Source organism: Homo sapiens, chromosome 7, assembly GCF_000001405.40.
Source record: "Homo sapiens chromosome 7, GRCh38.p14 Primary Assembly".
Lineage (NCBI taxonomy): Eukaryota > Metazoa > Chordata > Mammalia > Primates > Hominidae > Homo > Homo sapiens.
This window is the reverse complement of record NC_000007.14, coordinates 142442696-142459317: the sequence shown is the minus strand read 5'-3', so window position 1 is coordinate 142459317 and position 16622 is coordinate 142442696. Positions and strand designations below refer to the sequence as shown.

The 16622-nt window shown below is 43.2% G+C and overlaps 2 gene segments (V, D, J or C) and 1 further gene, besides 6 other annotated features; all 3 read right to left on the bottom strand.

Annotated features, from left to right (window-relative positions):
• TRB (T cell receptor beta locus) overlaps positions 1–16622 on the bottom strand; it is a 514277-nt gene that overhangs the window by 353970 nt on the left and 143685 nt on the right.
• Positions 3644–3652: a recombination feature (RSS_nonamer).
• Positions 3653–3675: a recombination feature (RSS_spacer).
• Positions 3676–3682: a recombination feature (RSS_heptamer).
• Positions 3683–4144, bottom strand: TRBV7-4 (T cell receptor beta variable 7-4). The segment is given in 2 exon segments: positions 3683–3980; positions 4096–4144. Coding segments are annotated over 2 exon segments (347 nt in total), but the record flags the coding sequence as incomplete, so codon positions are not given.
• Positions 7831–7839: a recombination feature (RSS_nonamer).
• Positions 7840–7862: a recombination feature (RSS_spacer).
• Positions 7863–7869: a recombination feature (RSS_heptamer).
• TRBV6-5 (T cell receptor beta variable 6-5) lies at positions 7870–8305 on the bottom strand. The segment is given in 2 exon segments: positions 7870–8164; positions 8257–8305. Coding segments are annotated over 2 exon segments (344 nt in total), but the record flags the coding sequence as incomplete, so codon positions are not given.

Genomic DNA, 16622 nt, shown 5'->3' with positions numbered 1-16622 from the left:
ACAGACGTTGAGGTATAAAGAGATTATTTAATCTGAATGACTAAGGATAAACAAAAATGCCCTCCAAAAATGACAGTGTTACCCCAAAAGCATAGATAAGCAAAAGATGAAGTTAAAAATGTCTATTAATAAAAAGTAAAATTGAAATATATAAAGGAGACCTCTTACAAGGAAATAAGCAATGGTGGAGGGAGCAATACCTAATGCACAAAATAAGGATGAACATAAGTAAGACCAGCAAAGGTGCTGCTACAGGAAATGATCAGCTTGTACAATGCACATCCACTGATCTGAGCAGCAAAGAGGGAAGAGATGATTATGAAAGAGGCAGAGGAGCAGCGGGAGATGAGGACACGCTGGTGCAAAATACTATCATAAGGAAGAAAATCAGCCAGGGGACTGTGGAATGTATGACTTTTCTTTCTCCTGTCTCCTGTGACAGCTGAAGTGGACCATTTTCATTTCCAATGATTTGCTCCTGCACCCTGAGTTAGATGCCCCTGGGATTTGCTGCTCCGCAGGTTCCCATGGATGAACTCCCTCTCCCTCCTTGTTGAGTATGGTCTGAAGGAGAGGTCATCTCTCCCTCCCCTTCAATCCCACAGTACTGGGGATTGGCACAGACTTCTCAATTGGCATTGACCTCTCTCATGGCAGGCTCACATGCCCCCTAACTGTGCCTTTTCATTTCCACTAGACTGAAAGTTAGATGTGGGCAATGGAACTTAACACCTTTATCATAGGATGCATAAGTAACTGCTTTCAAAATTATTGCTGTTTCTTTCACTGCCTTGGGTTACAGCTGAACAGGAAAAAAAGGCACAATTTCTTAATGTGACTTAACCACAAAAACCTTACCAAGTGCAAAAACAATATAACTACCAAGGGATTGCTCTCCTAAGTGGTGAGATGGCAAAATAAAACAAAAAACAAAGAAAATATTATCAAATACTTTAATGGAGACCCAGAATCCCAGTCCCTCTTATACAAACATCATTGCATAGCCTCCCTCTAACCAAGAGACAGATAGAACCATTCCTGTGCCCTGCACCTGGCAGGAAAGCCCTGCTGGAGCCTGTGGGGAGCTGGCGAGGATGAGCCTTGGTGATTCTGCCCCAGAGCAGGGATTCTCAGGGAGCTCCGGACACCTTCCAGGGACTGAGATGGAGAGTGGCCATACTCCGTCTTGGAAAGGAGAATACTGAGGGCCTCTGACCCTCAGTATTCTGACCCTTCTGACCTCTCAGCCTAAAGTAAAAGCAGAGTCATTCCTGACTGGTGTGGAGGTGCTTAGTCTCCAAAGCAAAATTGTCCTTTTTACAGGGTCTCTCGTTGCCACAGAAGAATAGTTGCTACTTGGCCATCTCTGTTGCCAATGACTCCAGCATCTGAATATTCTATGCGAGGAAAGATAATTTGTAAATAATGAACTGGTTCAGTGATACCTTTAGTTACATTCAAAATAGTTGTCATGTTCCAGACTGGCATGCTTGCAGGAGACACAGAATTACAGAGCAAGAGAATCTGGAGGTTGAATAGAAATAGGAACAATCGAGGCCCCCTTAGGTGATGGCTTCTAAGAACAAAAGTAGAGGGGAGGTGAATTCTGAGCCCTTTTGGCCCCACAAGAAATGGCATAACAGGGACATCAGAAAATACCCCAGGGATGTGCTGATAAACTGGGTGTCTGTGAAGGTGGGGGCATGTCTGGTAGCATTTCCTAATTTCGGTTGTACCAGCATACCCACCATGGTAGATTTCAAGTGGCCAACATGGCTTCACTGCTTGGGAGCTGGGAAGAGTAATATGCCTATTTGGTTCTTCTGACTCATACAAGCTGGCTCCAGCACATCCCTAGACTCAAGAGCAAAGCTTTCAAAGTTCTTCAGTGCTTCCTACTCAACACACAAAAAATGAGGCCGCAGCAAGTATAGCACACCTCATTGTTTTCATGATAGGATCAGAGTGTGTGATCCTGGGTCTTGGAATGGACAAAGGGATGTTTGTGCAGAGAAAGGATTTCTGAGTCCTTTGAAGCTGCCAAGATCACAAAGCAAATAGCTATGCTGGTTGGTTGTGGAGCTGCTACATTTGACTTGAAGTAATTGCAATGAAATGTTTATCCTGCTTAACTCAAGACAACTGAATGATTTCATTAGAGCAGAAACTGATTCCTTCCTATTTGTCCATTAGTAATATCTGCCCTTTGCTACTCTTCTATGTTCATTTTCTGTATAAGTTGGAAGTCCTGATTGCTTTTGTTTCATGTTGTTGCAGCACCGGTTACAATTGTGGACTGTGTTCTGTTCAGCCTCAGTGTCAGAGCTTGTCCACTGTTAGGAGTAGGTGTCTCAGGAGTCACATGGAGGAAGGTGGCAGCAGTTAGAGACAAGGTCTAGGAAGACAAGGAATTCCCATCTGTGCCCTGGCCTTACTCAGTCCCAGGAGACAGAGGGTACCTGAGCAAGGAATGATTTGATGATGGCACAATAAAAAATGGGTCTAGAGCAGCTCCCTACCAGAGATCATCATTCTCTGGGGAAAGAAATTTGGTGTCTGTACCACCACAATTTCTGATCAGAGAATTTGGGAGGGCTATGATGCCCCTCCCAGCTATGAAAGACTCAGGGCACCTCTATCATGGCTGCATCTGGGACACTGAGTCCCAGACTTGGAGAAGTGGTCTGATGCCGAAGACTCCCTGAAACCCATGATCCATAATCACATCAGCTCTGACCAGTGCATTCGCTTTCATAGATACAAACTGCAGCAGCACCCACAGACGAGTTGAAGATTCTATTACAATATAATCATTGTACTTCTATTTATAACAAGTACTGTATAATAAAATATAATATGAAAAATAAAAAAAAGAAATATATTCAATATTATAAATAAAACACTTCTTGAGTTAAAGGCCTCAGGAAAATGATTTCAAATCAAATGAGTTTGACAGCAATGAAAACCCTCAGAGTCTAGAAATTAGATTTCCTGAGGGAATCAAGGTGAACGGGCAGCGGTGGTGATGCATGCTTCTGTCTATCAGGACAGTAGCAATGGCAAATGCAAACAAAATAAAGGATACACGTGGCTTAAAGTAGGCAGAAGAAGTGAAGTCTTATTGTTATCACCATTGTATTTATTAATAAGGACCACAAATTTGCAAAGATGTTTACTTTATAGGAAGAGATGTTTGATATTTTGTTGAAGAAACTTCCAAGGTGACAGGGGTAGAACAGGCTTCTGAAGAAAGATGTTCCTGGGGATGTAGCCTCAGACCTTCCAAATGCCCCAACATATGAAGAAGAGGCGTGTTTCCTGCCTATGACAACCTCATGGATGTGGGCAGCACAGCAGCCTCCAAGACCTATAGAAGATGCATGTCTGCCCTGAAGGCCAAGGCTAAGACACTGACTCCTTGCTTGGAACAGTGAGCTGGCTCGGAGGACTCCCAGAGCGCAGTGGGCTCTGATTGTTTTCACCACCTACATTTGCACTCACTGTGTTTCAGGAATGAATCTGCGGTCTCTTTCTACCCAAAGGACAGCTGAGGTCCAAATCTACCTTTTTCCCATGAAAAGTAAGGAGCAAAGAGAGGCCTCTGTTAAGGGTTTGTAGGAGCTGCAAGGAGAGAGAAGGATGAGGTTTGTGAGCAGAAAGGAGGCGACTGTGCCACGCTGTGGCTAAGCTGCTGGCACAGAGATACACAGCTGAGTCCCCCTGCTCTGTGCGCTGGATCTTCAGAGTGGAGACGGATCTCTCAGGCCTCTCTGCAGAGAACCGACCACTGGGCCGCCCTGATTTGTCTCGTTGAGCATCACTCTGGGAGTAAGTCAGAACCTCTGAGCCCTGCCCCAGGGTCTGTCGGTACCAATAAAGGGTTACATGACCCGAAATTGAATCACACCTGAGAGCTACATCCCGTCCCCTCTTTGCGACTTTGTACCTTGGGGACTGGGAGACTCCAGCACCTGTGTGATCTGTGGAAATAGAATTTGGCAACAGAATAAGGAAAATATTTGTAGTCATCGCACACACACACACAAGCCTACACACAGAAAAAAACTGAAACTACTTTGTGTTCTAAGGACTCACCTGTCCCTAGGAAACCCAGGACCACCCAGCAGAGGAGCCTGGTGCCCATGGCAGGGTCAGGCCAGGACGGGGGTTTTACCAGGTCAGTGTCACTATGAGCAGGAGCAGAGGATGAGTGACGTCCTTGTCTCCACAGGGCGGTTCCCACAGTGACATCACTTCCTCTGTCAATCCCCAGGACCTCAGGGCCCCAGCATTTCTATTAGAACACATTTGGGTGCTGCTTTAAATATTTATAAGCTCCTTTTTAACAACATCAATGCATGGCTCATTGCTTTGGGCTCCAGATCTGTCTGGACCCGGAGGCCTCACGCTGCATCTCTGAGTTCATCTTGCCAGCCCACAGCTGCTCTTCTGTCTGCTAGGCATGTCCTGTAGGATGTACCAACAGTGCCCCTAACATAGAACACAAAAGGGTGAGCTCATTGTCTTTCCTGCAAGTCAGGGTCCCCTCTGCCATCCCCATTCATGCCCCAGCCTCCTCCATTCCCCCAGTCACACGTGCCCAACAGGACTGTCCCCTCACATGCGTTCCCTCATGAACTGCCCTCATGCCTTTCTTTGGGATCATTTCCCACCTTTGTTAACTGTAATTCAGAAAAGATAACTTGGTAGCAAACTCACAGTGGTGGTTTTTCATATTCCACGTATAAAAGTTTTTTTTTTAATCAATCTCACCTCTAATGAAGGAGAATGACGATTGAGCTAACGGTTATTTTTAACCACTATCTTGACTTACTGTTGTTCTCCATCTATTCCTATGGGAGGTATCTGTCTTTTCTTTCTGACTGCTTTCAAAATCTTCTCTTTGTCCCTCATGTTATACAATTTCCCTATGACTTGACTATTTGTCTTACTTGAGATTCATTTTGATTCTGGAAACTCTGAATTTAGGTCCTTAAACACCTCTAAATAATTGTCAGCTAACATCTCATAAATATCACCTCATAACATTCTACCTATTTTATCTATTTGAAACTGCAATCATATGCAAAAAAAAATGGTAATTTATGAAAAATTTGCATATTCTAATATATGGGAAACATCCATTTCTTTTCTTCCCTGTTCTTTAACTTTTTCATATTCCACTTTTAATTTTCCGTGCTGCATTCTAGATCACTCCTGCAGATCCATCTTTGACATAGGAGCAGCTAATCAACTGTTTGACTTTCCATTTTGTTTTCAGTGGTTGTATGAGGAATTTCTAGATATATTATTTGACAATTTTTATGAAAGTTACTTGATGGTTTCAGACATTCTCTTTTTCCTTGTTTCTCTTTTTCCCTCTCATGTTCATTTAAATGTAGCTCTCCAAACTTTCATATCTTATAATGCCAAAATTTTGAGTCTTCGGGTTTGCACTTCAAACGTTTGTTGCTTGTGCTCACATTTCCTCATTGCTAACTCCTAATGTGTCCTTATGTACTTCATACTGGGGATCTATTTGTTTGATGGTAGTCTGCGACATTCCAGAGAGGCCGGGACTGAGAGGGAACAACACCAAGAATCTGTCATGTTTACAGGCATCTCCAGTCTAACTCGCAAATGTATGGGCCCAAGAAGTGTCTGCTGCACTCTGGGGGGCCAAATACACCCACAATATAGGTTAGTAGGTCAAAAATGCTCTCTGGCCAGTCCCAAGGAAAGATTCAGAATAGAATTCAAATTTCTATTTTTTAAAAAATAAATCTCATACATTTATAGACCCTCTGGGTGGAGGGAGATTTCAGGTACAGGATTAAAAGAAAAGTTAGTAGCCAGTGTCTGGAACATCCACATACAAATTGTGTCCACATTCACCTGGGCAACACAGATGTCCATGGAGAAGAGTCCAGGGACCATGGCAGGTTGAGGCAGTTGTGTGATCTGATGCCTTAATCTGGAAGAATCCATCATGGGCTGAATTGAGTTAAGTCAGCTTTGCAAAGGCAAGAGCCTGCCTTTCCCAGAATGCCATTTCTCTTATCATTCTGGGTTAGAGATGGTCAAGGATACATTTGGTAAAATTTGGAAGACAGATGAAAAGCAGTCACTATTAGACTTGGCAGGTCATTGTGGTCAGACAGTGAGAGTCTGTGACCAGCAGATACAGAGGCATCCAACAGACCTAGGAAGTCTTGTTCCTTCTGCACTCTGTGTCTAGTTCATCTTCCCAAATGCTGGCAAACAGCAGCCAGGCTGCTGTTTTGGCAGTGCACCTGCAGGGGTGGCCCCCGTAGAGTGGGAACAGCTTCCCCAGAAGCAGGTTTCCTTGGCCTTTTCCTGTGCCCCCGGTTCAAGGTCCCACTGCATGTCCTGGCATACTCTGATCCTTTCATGTCCCTGCCAATCCAGCCTGTCCTGCCGAGACCCCCAGGAGCCCTGGCTATTGACTGGCTCCCTCGCCTTCTGACTTCTCTCCTCCAGACCTTCTCTTTCTCAGCTCCTCCCACATATGCATAAAGTCTAATTCTGATCGTAAATTTGTTACACTCTCAAACTTGTAGCGGCCCTGTTTTATTGTTGCAAACTTAATGGAGATTTTCTTACCAGAAGTGGTTTCAAGGAACAACCTTTAAGGATGGAATTCTAGAAGTGGATCTCTGATCTGTCTCGCTTTGTTGTGGGGAAAGACCCTGAAGGAGAGCACAGAGACCTGGAGGAGGTCAGGCTCTGCAACCACAAGAGGAAGCTTTGAGCCAGGTGTGGCCGCCATGATAGTGATTCTCCATCAATTTCCAAGACCGACCTGAGCCCAGCAATCAAAGGGATGGGCTTTCTTGTACTTAATGCTAGATCTCTGCCAGGTTACAGTAGATGTAGTGTGTTTTTATTATTGGTTTATCCACCCACTCATCACTCACTCAGCCTGTCATTCACTCATCCATTCTTTGTGAAATGGGTCTCCCTACATGCCAGACACCAATGTTGGTAAATGCAGCAGGCACAGCCTTAGCTCTCATGGGCTTAAAAATTGGGTGGAGTACAAAAATAACCAGACAAGTATCTGAGAAAGCCAAGCTGTGCTAAAGGTTACTAACAGACACATGAATCTGTGACAGCTTATGAGAGGAAAGTTGATTTCAGATGGGAGGGGAGGGAGCGCTTCCCACAAGAGGGGTTGATCATGCTGAGATATGAAGGACAGGTAGGAGCTGGCCACTGCAGAAAGGAAGGCTCCATGCAAGGGCAGAGGAAATGGCCTTTGAAGTCTCTGTGATGGGAAGGAAGGAGGCACAGAACAGGGGCTCCCCTCATGGCTGCAGTAGAGAGGGGCGAGGAGGTGGGGGGAGGAGAGACCCAGCAACGCCTTGGAGGGTGACTGCCCAGATGGGAAAGGTGGGCCACAGGAGAGAAAACATGAGGGTGGGGGCTGGGGGAAACATTAGAGAGAGGAAGCAACAGGGTCACCAGGGAGAGACGGGAGTCTAGATGGATCTGAAATGCAAATCCTGTTTTATCCTGGGGGCCTCGGACTCAGGATAATGAGTAGAAAAGTAGGAGCTGGGAAAGCCCTGGCCCCACCCCAAAAGGAAAGCTCCAAGGATAGACCAGAGAAAGCAACAAAGGAGACATCTGAGGACCTGGGACCAGTCCAGGCCTGGCTGAGATGCCTGCAGAGGCACCTGGCACAGAGCAAGGCTCATACTGTCCAGGCCACTTGGGGCCACTGTGGGTTCCAAGGTTCCTGGCGCAGAGATCTCTGCCCAGGGCATCCCTGAGTCTTGGGTGGGGGAGGAGGGCAGAACCTCCCTGCCTTTATGTGCAGAGAGGAGACGGCCTTGTAGCGCTGTGGAGTAACTGCTGGCACAGAAGTACACAGATGTCTGGGAGGGAGCAGCCGACAGCAGCCTGAGCGGGAAATCCTCTGTGGTTGATCTGGAGACATTGTAGCCATTGGGGACTTCTCCTTGGTCAGTGATACCAGCACCAACTGAGTAATGAATCAGCCTCAGCCCCATGCCTGGGTCTTGTCGATACCAGGACATGTATTCATGGTTCATATCCTGGGCACACTGCAGTGTCATGCTCTGTCCTGTCTTCAGGACCTGGAATTTTGGGGTCTGAGTGACACCAGCATTCACTGGACCTGCAGAGAAGGAGAACAAAGCTGATGCTGCAGCCCCAATGGGAAGGCGCTGGGCCTTGAAATTCACACAAGGGGCTCTGCCCAGGACCCACCTGCCCACAGGAGAGACAAGGCTGCACAGCACAGGAGGCCGATGCTCATGGCAGATGCTGCATGACGGAGGGGTCTTCTGTATCTGTGCATTGATGAAAGGGGAGCAGGACTCTCAAGGAAGTCATTCTGAGACATTCTCCCTGCCTGGGCCCCAGGGAGGGAGAGGCCAGGAGAGGCCACACCCATTCCCCAGATGGTCAAATCCAAAATAAATGCACCAGTGAACAGCTGAGAATGAGAAGAACACATCTGTCTGAATTGAAACAAGTCTACAAGATTTTCATGACCTTTTGGAAACAGTTTGTAATTCACTGTAAATTTTATTTTTTCAATGATATAATTAATATTTTAGTGTTAGTTATCTACATAGTGCTAGTGCTGTAGTCTAGAGTCTTAGGGAAACTCCTCATGTCTTCCTGGTGCTTTTGATTCCCCTGTCCCAAATACTCCTTCAAGTGTCCTTTTCTAATTTGCTTAATTGACCTTAATCCTGTTTAAAATCCTTTGTCTATATTGGTTTTTTCTGTTATGAAGTTTCCAAATCCCAGGGGCAGGCTCGTCAACATTGGAGGAGTCGTTTTGCTCTGTTTCTTGTCAACTCACTGACAGATGAGACTTCTGACAAACCCAGCTGAGCACCTTCAGCTCCACCCAGGGCTCTTGCTTTCCATGTCTGGGGTGAGACCGCAGTAGGCAGAACCACTTCACGTTGCTGACTGCCTTCTACATGTGGACGATGGTGGCCAACCAGCGCTGCCCATGACCTAGGGGCACAAATGTGGCCTTATGCGTGAGGGACTCGGGGAGAGAGGGCAGACTTTAGAGTAAGGAAGAGTGCTCTTTTTTAATTTGAGTTGTCATGTTTCATAGGGAGTATCCCTTTGTGTGGGATTCCTGCCATTAATTTAGTAATCAATAAAAAGGAATTCAAATAACATATCTTGGTGCACAGAGTCCCACACTTATTAGGACGCCACAGTCAGTATAACATTGTCATGTTCTTCAAATTCTTATGATTTTTTGAACCAACGGGATGCTAATAAGTTGTATGGCTGGTTCTGAGTCCATAATTGTGTTTCATATTCTGCTCACCTCCCCATGTGCTGTTTTCCTTTTTAGCACAAGTACATGACCAGGGTCTGGGTCACTCAGTATCAATGGTACTTTGGATCCCATCAATGGGACTGTGTCCTGTGAAGAACACAGAAGTTAAAGTCACAGCAAAGGAACACCTGGTACTATTATCTGCAAGCTAGGGTCCAACAAACCAATGAGTAGATGCCACATATGTGCCCAGTATTTCTCTGGTCCAGAAAACAGAGGGACACACAGCAAAAGAGCCTGGTGCCCAGGCAGCGCCAGAACAGAAAGGGGAATTTTCTAGCTCAAGGCTCATGTTTTATGGGTTGGACACTTGCGGTCAAGGAAGAGAGACCCCTTCTCTCAATGTGACATTATCTCTCAAGGTAGTCACTATTGCACATGGTTCACTTGGCCCCAGTGCACTCTATGTGCTCAGGAAGCAGAGCTGAATCACAGCTAAATATTGTCTGATGGAAACTCAAAATAATGTTCTTGGAGATGATTAGTTTTTGTCAGAATATCATTATAAAATAATTTAAGTGAATGAGTGTATGAGAAAAAATAATGAAAATGAATGAACAAATTATGTGGAAATAGCCTCTTCCATGTGGGAAGATTTTTGGTGTCATTTCATCATCTTGTCTATCTCCAGACAGGATTATCCCTAACGTGGATCAGGTGTCTCTCAGGGTTCTGGAAGGGTTTGAAACCCTTCTAAAGCCATAAAAAATCTCTCTTTTTTTAAATTTTTTAAATTTTACTTTAAGTTTTGGGATACATGTGAAGAATGTGCAGGTTTGTTACATAGGTAAACATGTGCCACGGTGGTTTGCTGCACCCATCAACCCGTCATCTAGGCTTTAAGCTCCGCATGCATTAGGTATTCATCGTAATGCTCTCCCTCCTCTCACCCTCCGCCCTCCGACAGGCTCCAGTGTGTGTTGTTCCCCTCCCTGTGTCCATGTGTTCTCTTCGTTCAACTCCCTCTAAGTGAAAACATGCGGTGTTTGGTTTTCTGTTCCTGTATTAGTTTGCTGAGGATAATGGCTTCCAGCTTCATCCATGTCCCTGCAAAGGACATGATCTCATTCTTTCATATGACTGCATAGTATTCCATGGTGTATATGTGTCACATTTTCTTTATCCATTCTGTCATTGAGGGGAATAGCCATAAATATCTTTGGGAGCACCTCCCTCTCTTGAATATTTACCTGTGTACTAAAGAGGAAGTGTTTTAATAGTTAGAGGTTGTAAATTTCCATTAAAAATATACCTGAGCAAAACAATTTTCTAGTGATAAATATCACTGGTTGTCAGGGATGGAGGGAGGCATTGCAGAGAGGAATGAGAACACTCTCTGTGTGATGGAAATGTTCGGCATCTTAATAGGGGTGGGGATTGAAGGGTCTATACACATATGTTGCTCCAAAATCACTCATCAGTTCACTTAAAATGTGTAATGTTTATATAATCTATATATTAATGAAGTTGATTTTTAACTATCTGAGGAGGTATGTATGCTACATTCTTTAGTTAATTTCATGTGAGGGATCATCAGGTATATATATTTCCACTTCTGTGACTTCTAAGTTCTCAGCTTAAGATTTCTAGGCAGAGTGTGTCTGAATCTGCCTTTGTGCATGGTGAGGGTGGAAGAGGCTGTCTGAGATTAACAAAGGGAATCAAGAGATTTAGATTCCTATTATAGGCTAGATATTTTATGATACTAAATTCTATATACAGCCCTATAGATAGACTGTATTAGTCTCATTTTATAGATTAACAAAACAAAAACCAAACTAAAGTTAACCTGTCAAGAGCTGGTCTCAGTTAGTGATGTGGTGGTGTTAGAGTGGGAGTCAGGGCTGGGTGCCATGGCATCTTTTCAGAGTTCTTTCCCCATACTGTCTCCAGGATACATTCATCTCTGTCTGTGATGTTATTGGAGCCAGCAGGTCTGAAAGGGATGTAGAGAGCAAATACTCTGATTTTGAAAGGTAGGCGTCTCTCTTCATGAAAATGCCTTATAGCACAGAGCTATAAACACAGGGCTTAGAGACTGACAGGTCAGAGCTGGACCCCCGGTACTGCATCCTAATAGCCATTTAATGTGATCATGTTATTTAACCTGTGGGTCAATTCCCTCCTCTCTGTAAAATGAGAATAGCATTTGTGTCTTAAGGCTTTTTCTGACAGTTGAATTTCTAATTAACTGCAATTTTGCAAATGAAGGGCTTCTATTTTGTGTATAGTAAAATGACAATAAAGGATGGAATTATGATTTTTTTTTCTGAATCTTCTCCGTGCAGCATAATTGAACCATAAAAGTGCATTGATGTACTCAGAGCCTGCACCTCTGCAAATGACCCTGTTACTCGTGTGATGTGTGGTTTTATAGAAACAGTCAAATACTATGCATTTATTACCACAGACCTTAAATGTGTTATATACACACAAGGAAATAATATCAAAAAAGAAGAAAATCTCACCATATGTGGCAATGTGGATAAACCTGGAGGACATTATGGTAACTGAGTAAGCCAGACACAGAAAGACAAATACTGCACGACTCTTTTTTTTTTTTTTTTTTTTTGAGATGGAGTTTCGCCTTGTTGACCAGGCTGGAGTGCAATGGCACAATATCGGCTCGCTGCAACCTCCACCTCCCGGGTTCAAATGATTCTCCTGCCTCAGCCTCCTGAGTAGCTGGGATTACAGGCGCCTGCCACCGTGCCCAGCTAATTTTTGTATTTTTAGTAGATGCAGGGTTTCACCATGTTGGCCAGGCTGGTCTCCAACTCCTGACCTCATGTGATGTGCCCACCTCGGCCTCCCAAAGTACTGGGATTACAGGCGTGAGCCACCGTGCCTTTTTCTACTTTTATGAGGCAACCTAAATAGTCAAACTCATGGAAGTAAAAACTGAAACATTGGTTTCCAAGGGCTAGGGATTGGTGGCAATGGGGAGTTGCTGTCAACAGGTATAAAATTCCCAGTTAAGCAGGATGAGGAAGTTCTAGAGATCTACTGTACAGCCTTGTGTCTGTGGACTACGATACTCTACTATATACTTAAAAGCCTGTTAAGAGGATAGATCTCATATTAAATGTTCTCACTAAAATTTTTTTTAAAAAGGTGGTAAAAGGAGGTAGGTAACTAAAGAGAAAGATTTTTAAAAAGGACATTTGTATAATTCAGAAACATTAAAGTATTTTGAATTAGCAAAATATAAATTTCAAAATAATTCAATAAATACATTTCCATATTAATTGCCTTAATATTGTCAAAGGCGAGAAACATACTGTTTTTAAAAATTGTCTTATCTGTTTTTCTAAATTTTATTTTTTGTTTCGCTTTTAAATTTATGTGGCACAATCCCTTGTACAAAGCAGGGGGCTTAAAATGTTTATGAAATCAATAAATTAACTAATGAATAATAATGATTTGTGTCTTTTCCCTCATAATAAATTACATCAGGTACAGGAAAACTACACTTTCCTTTAAAAACATCCCATTCCCTTTGCTGTGCACTGAGAAATCTCTCTCCTCACATATCCTTCATGAAAGAGATCACCTGGCCTCATTCATAGGACAGCTATGGTGCAGAAAATTGCACCTCTCTTTTTTGTCACAATGAAGGATGAATGAATATGTTTAGCCTGGAAGTTATATGTTCCTTGGACTTTTCAGCAAAGAGAGTATAGTGATCACATATAATGCCTGACTTTCTCCTCCTGCTAATGGGGACCTGGAAAGGGAAGGCCATGTGAGAGGACAAATCTGCAGAGTGGGGACAGCAGGTAGAGGTGCTGGAGGAACAGACTTCAGCTAGTTATCTTCTTTTCAATTAACTATTTATTGATACATATTAGATGTACATATTTTTTAGTAGATGTGATCTTTGATACATTAATATAATCAAATCATGGTCATTGGGATAGGCATCACTTTAATATTTGTCTTTTCTTTACCTTAAGAACATTTGAATTATTCTCTTCTAGCTATTTTGAAATGCATAATTGGTTGATGTTAACTACAGTCACCCTATTACTGATCTATCCAACGCCAGGTCTGGTTTCTTCCATCTAAGAGTGTACAAGACCCAGGAAAGTTATTTCAGTCAAGTGTATACACAGTTAAATAATACTTATTTTGCATGATTTCTGTCAGAATCAAAACAGGTCTCATAAAGAAGCAACAGAGGGTACCTGGGAAAGGCCTGTCGGATCACCAGATCCTGAGCCCCTCTGGCTGCCAACATCCCATTCATGGTCTTTTTCTGAGTGGGGGCAGGAATGTTTTGGCATTACCATAGGAAACTTGCCTTTCTATTTACTTCCTCTGCAGGCCATCCTTTGCCCACTGTACCCTTAGGTGGGTGCCTGGCTCTGCTACCCCATGTATCATTCCTGCCCTGAAGGGTCCCGAAACTAAAGGTGGAGCACAGTATCCACATGTCCATGTCACACCTTACTCCACCCACCGCTGTCCCTGCCCTGACACTGATTCCCAAGCCCTGGATGCCCCAGCCCCTTCACCATCCACTGGCCAGACAGACACAGAGACACTCTCTTGTTGGTACAAACTGAGGCCTTTCGCACCCCTACCCTTCTCTGGACAGTGAGGAGTCTGTGTTAAACTCAGAACTCACTCTGAACTCAAATGGCCCCCACCTGATGCTAGCAGGCAGCCAGGCATTCTCTTCAGCCTTCCTCTTCTGGGTCACCTGCCCTCCCCTCCCCAGGGTTCCCAGCAGCATTGCGGAGACACAGCGCCTCCAAGTGGCTATAGATCCATAGTCTCACAGATTCACACCTTCTGATCTGATGAGCTCTAGATTGTCCAAATCCGTAACAGAGACCCCTGCATCCCGCTCCTGCAGCCCCCACCCTCTCACATACACCCTCTCTAAGCTTTCCCAGATAAGCCAATTTAGGGTTAATCTCTAAATCCTCCCTTAGCCAGTGGAGACAAAAGGGTGTATTAACCAACATTTTGATTGCAAAATTAATCGTTGTTATGTCATTGCAATTCATATGATAAGGTGGAAGAGAGGAGCCTGAATAAGACAGGACATACAATTAAACAGTGTGAAGCTATCCAGCAGAATGATCTTGGAAAAATATTTAATATCTCATGTGTCTTCATATTTTGTATTTAGAGTCATTATTACCAAATTTTAAATAGTGCATTTAATAAAAGGGGCTTCTAGTTTTTACATATTTAATTCTGAATTTATAAAAAGTCTTGAAATAAACAACCCTATTGGCTATAACTTAGGCAGATTGAGTGGTGTGACATTTCCCATCACTAGCCAGAAGTGCCTATGAGCTCCCCAGGTGACCCAGTGCCTCTTTGTAATGCGATCCAAAGATAAACTTTTTCATGTGGATGAATCTGCATGAGAAAATGCACATACACACACACTCATACACACTCACACATACACTCTCACACACACACTCATACACACTCACATATACACTCACACACACACACATACACACATGGTATCTTCTTATTGCAAGGATAAGATTCTATTACTGAGCACAACAAATTTTTCTCTCAGTGTTTTAGGTTGACTTCTGAAATGCACCCCTGATAATGTGTCCAGACTCATAAAGATGTGATTTTGGAAAAGTGTGGTTGTGGTGAGGAATTTCTTTTACTGGATCATAGGACTGGATAAATATTATTATAACATAAATTTCTTTGTTCCAAAAGGACATTTGTGAATTCCAGCTTTAGATATAGTTAGGGTACTGGGTAGTACTGGTCATTAATCCTGACTGGGAAAACACATTTGCTTGGAATACTGCAGAAATTGTATGGAAAATTGAGACTAGCCATAATGACTCTCCATCATATTTCAAGTAAAAGGAGCCCCTTTTGAAGGGAAAACAGTAATAGATAATATTTCAGAGCTCTGTATAAATGGACATTAATTTATTCATTTCACAAACATCGAGTAGTATCAATTATATACCTGAATTTTCCTCTGAATGTAAAGGAAACAGAATGATATACTGCAGTGGCCAGGGAATGTCAGGGTAAGAAGCAAAGAGGAAGGTAGATGTGAGTCAGTCCTTGATAGATGAGGAGTGTCTGGCCCTGTTTGGGGAGAATACAGTTTGTTGCAGACTGTGGAAATAGCACAGATACACAGGATGTAAAAGCCTGTAAAAGCTCTAGAGCCTGTGATTTCCTAACCTGCCGTATTTCCTGCACAACTACACTTCCCTTTCCCTGCACAGATGAACTTTAGAAGACATCGGGCCCGGGAAAGTGGGGTGAGCTAGGTCAGAGGCTCTGGAAGCCTCAAACGTCTCCATTCCTTGTACCATCTGGCAGTATGTCATTTTTTACCCCCACTCTTGGCAAATGCTAATTTTTTAAAATAATGTTTTTAAAGTAATCATTTATTTTGTCATTTTTGTAACACACAGCGCTGTCAATCAGGGTTTTTAATCAGCATGAGATGAGCCCATAAGTTAATTTCACAGAACTTTAATATAATTCCATCTCAGCAAAGACATGAGTCAATTTCCTTATTATGTATAGCTTGGGTCATGTGCATAATTTCCTTTCACTTTCAAAAAATATTAAAAAGAAATTGAGGACCTTGATATTATCCTTGAAAACCTTAGGTTAGGGACTGCCACCCTAGCCAGTTCTCACCTCCTAACCTCTTTGTCTCTCTTACCATCTATGATCCCTTGACTCCCCTGGAGCTGTTCTGTCCAAAGATTCTAAAGATAAATTGAAATTACCAGATGATTTTATTATTTCTTACATGATCTATCTGTAGTCCAGCCCAGAACAGCAGCTCTGGACAATTTTGTTTTGCATTTGTCTCTTTAAACCTGTTTATTGATTCACTGATTCAAAACATGTGATTTTTAATATCTTCCTTGTCAGATATACAATGTTAGGATTAATGGATAAAATGTCAAAAGTGAGGAAGTCAAGAAAGTGAGAAGCAAAACCAATGAAAAATGGTCTGTGTGATGAGTAGCCATTAGGAATGATGACAAGATTAGTAGCAGACAGAAGGACTGAATGAGAAGAGAGTTCTGAAGGGAAAGAAGCAAGTGCAGCAAAGAAGGGTGCTGTTCTAATGTCATGTGTGTAAAGGAGCTGGGCTTCAAAGGAGGAAGGAAAATGATCTGGAGGCAACAGAGAGAAGCCCAAAGAGCAAGGAAGACACCAAAACAATATATAAACACAGAGTAGGTCTCTCGATGTACATTAAAGGATACCCCGAATTTCATTCTGCATCATT